This window comes from Homo sapiens, chromosome 5 (assembly GCF_000001405.40).
Source record: "Homo sapiens chromosome 5, GRCh38.p14 Primary Assembly".
NCBI lineage: Eukaryota > Metazoa > Chordata > Mammalia > Primates > Hominidae > Homo > Homo sapiens.
This window is the reverse complement of record NC_000005.10, coordinates 148,956,116-148,957,570: the sequence shown is the minus strand read 5'-3', so window position 1 is coordinate 148,957,570 and position 1,455 is coordinate 148,956,116. Positions and strand designations below refer to the sequence as shown.

Genomic DNA, 1,455 nt, shown 5'->3' with positions numbered 1-1,455 from the left:
AGCCATGACAAACCTCTCTCTCTTTTTTTTTTTTTTTCAATATTTCTATTTTCTATTATGTAGAAGAGATCATTTTAACTTCTGTCTGTCCATATTTATTGACTTTCTACTATGCGCTGGGCACTGTTTAGGTGCTAGACACTCTGGGGTACAAAACAGGCTCCTGTCTCAATAAGTCCATCGTCTAGTTAGAAAGACAAATGTCAAAAAATACTACATAGCTACCAACTGTGATTGGTGTGAAGGAGAAAGACAATGTTTGGAGACAGATAATAACAGGAACACCTAATTCATTCTCAAGTTCATCCTGAGAGGAAGAGCCATGTAGCAGAAACCTGGAGGCTGTGCAGGGCTGGCAGAGGGACCAGAAGAGCAGACCTTCTGCCCCACATGGCTCTCTGGCTTGCCCACTGCTGCTGGGTGAGTCCCGTCTCCCCTGTGGCCTTCTGCTTTGCCATCTGTGTAATTGTGCACGCATTTCAAGCCTGAGGTTTTGATTAGGAGGGGCTTGTACCTGAGCTATCTGGGGCAGCTGGTGTGTGGCATTTGCAGCTGGTGTCAAAGGAGCCTGGGGTCCAGCTCTTGAGTGAAAGGGGGCTTCCACATGGATGGCCTCACACTGAGCAATGGGCCAGGAGCTGTGGGGTGGCTTTGTTCCAGGCATAGGAGTACTGCAGCTTTAAGACCTAGCACAGGTGTGGCTCTTGGACTGCCTGCATCCAGTCACCTGGAGAGTTGCTTAAGTAGAGAAACTACTGGGCTCCACCCCCAGAGATAATGATAAGGCAGCTCTGGAGGAGGGCCCAGGAATCTGCATGTTAATGAGCTGTCTAGGTGACTCTGATGCATGCTGAGGTCTGGGAACCATTTCCCTAGATCGTCTTGTAGAAAGGATCTGTGACACTCAGGCTTTGAACTGGCCTTCATTGTGTGCTCTATGTGTATTCCAAAAGAGTTGTGGTTAAGCAAAGATATTTTACAATTCAAATCATATCCTGAGTATACTTAGGGCTCTCACTTTAAAGAAGCCCCATTTGTAATGTGAATTTCTATACCAAAGTATAGTTCTTTGGTTCTTGTGTGTTAATTTTCCTAAATGATGGGCATACCTAACTATATACTTTGCAGACTGATTAATTAAATAATGAATTGAAAACACCTGGAATCCAGCTTTGTATGTTGCGGGAGGTCAGGGACCCCGAATGGAGGGACTGGCTGAAGCCATGGGAGAAGAATATGGATTGTGAAGATTTCATGGACATTTATTAGTTCCCCAAATTAATACTTTTATAATTTCTTATGCCTGTCTTTACTGCAATCTCTAAACATAAATTGTGAAGATATCATGGACACTTATCACTTCCCCAATCAATACCCTTGTGATTTCCTATGCCTGTCTTTACTTTAATCTCTTAATCCTGTCAGCTGAGGATGATGTATGTTTCCTCAGGACCC

The 1,455-nt window shown here is 44.1% G+C and overlaps 1 annotated feature.

The window, feature by feature from the left end:
• Positions 582–1,154: an enhancer, noted in NCBI's record as "NANOG-H3K4me1 hESC enhancer chr5:148335980-148336552 (GRCh37/hg19 assembly coordinates)". NCBI's record gives its function as "activates a minimal SCP1, AML or CMV promoter by ChIP-STARR-seq in naive H9 embryonic stem cells {active_cell/tissue: H9 hESC(naive)}" and the evidence as "EXISTENCE:reporter gene assay evidence [ECO:0000049][PMID:30033119]".